The sequence below is a fragment of the Homo sapiens genome, chromosome 8 (genome assembly GCF_000001405.40).
Source record: "Homo sapiens chromosome 8, GRCh38.p14 Primary Assembly".
NCBI classification, from domain to species: Eukaryota; Metazoa; Chordata; class Mammalia; order Primates; family Hominidae; genus Homo; species Homo sapiens.
In genome coordinates, this window is record NC_000008.11 from 8,752,595 (window position 1) to 8,753,657 (window position 1,063).

General features: G+C 41.7%; 3 annotated features.

Moving 5' to 3' along the window:
• Window positions 340–489: an enhancer, noted in NCBI's record as "active region_26974". NCBI's record gives its function as "activates an Ori minimal core promoter by ATAC-STARR-seq in GM12878 lymphoblastoid cells {active_cell/tissue: GM12878}" and the evidence as "EXISTENCE:reporter gene assay evidence [ECO:0000049][PMID:35858748]".
• Window positions 510–609: an enhancer, noted in NCBI's record as "active region_26975". NCBI's record gives its function as "activates an Ori minimal core promoter by ATAC-STARR-seq in GM12878 lymphoblastoid cells {active_cell/tissue: GM12878}" and the evidence as "EXISTENCE:reporter gene assay evidence [ECO:0000049][PMID:35858748]".
• Window positions 780–829: an enhancer, noted in NCBI's record as "active region_26976". NCBI's record gives its function as "activates an Ori minimal core promoter by ATAC-STARR-seq in GM12878 lymphoblastoid cells {active_cell/tissue: GM12878}" and the evidence as "EXISTENCE:reporter gene assay evidence [ECO:0000049][PMID:35858748]".

A 1,063-nucleotide genomic window follows, 5' to 3' on the forward strand; every position in this document is an offset into this window, starting at 1 on the left:
AAATTTATTTTAAAAACTACAACCACAGGGAAAAGAATACTTTTTCAAGGCACAACAAGGCACAACAAGGCATGCTCTATAAATCTGTAATAAATAATAATTTTCTAAAAATCAGGCCAGGTGTGGTGGCTCATGCCTGTAGTCCCAGCACTTTGGGATGCCAAGGCGGGTAGATCACCTGAGGTCAAGAGTTCGAGACCAGTCTCGCCAACCTGGCGAAACCCTGTCTCTACTAAAAATACACAAACAATTAGCTGGACATCGTGGTGGGCACCTGTAATCCCAAATACTCAGGAGGCTGAGGTAGGAGAATTGTTTGAACCCAGGAGACGGAGGTTGCAGTGAACCGAGACTGAGCCACTGCACTCCACTGCACTCCAGCCTAGGCGACAAGAGCGAAACTGTCTCAAAAAAAAAAAAATCAAAGGATACTTTTAACAATGCAGACACACTCCAAGTTTCTCACTCTGGAATGCTTGGGCCACAAGAAAGTGACAGGGTGCTTCCGCAGCAGAAAGCATGCACATTGCTGTTTTTAGAATTCCTTCTGGTATACGGTCTACTCAGCACCTCAGGGGAAAAGCATGTGACACTCTCAGTCATATGAGACTACAGCTGTCTTGCTGTCATGGTCATACCCAGAACTATTTTGCCACCACCACAGCTGCTGGTGGAGCCAAGATGGGTGTGTCCATGCATAGCCAAGCAGCAACAAAGACAAACAACTGTCATCAAAAAGGTGCCTTTCGTGACAGGCAGAGCAAGGGCCACAGGCCCTGCTAGAGCTTCTAAAAATTTAAATAAATGGATATTTTTAAAATAAATACACATGATTGAGCATGTGTAGTATGTAAAAACACAAAGATTAATTTCAAATGTAATGTTTTTATTACTACGTAATCTCACCATCCAGATACAAACTTTATTAACACTTTCGCTAAATTTCTGTCAGTCATGTTTTTGCATGTGTGTGTCTCTGTGTGTGTTTGTGGAGAGACTTTTTTAAAAAATTCTCACTGTCTCTACCAATTACTTTGAAATAATTTCAAGCTTATAGAAAGAT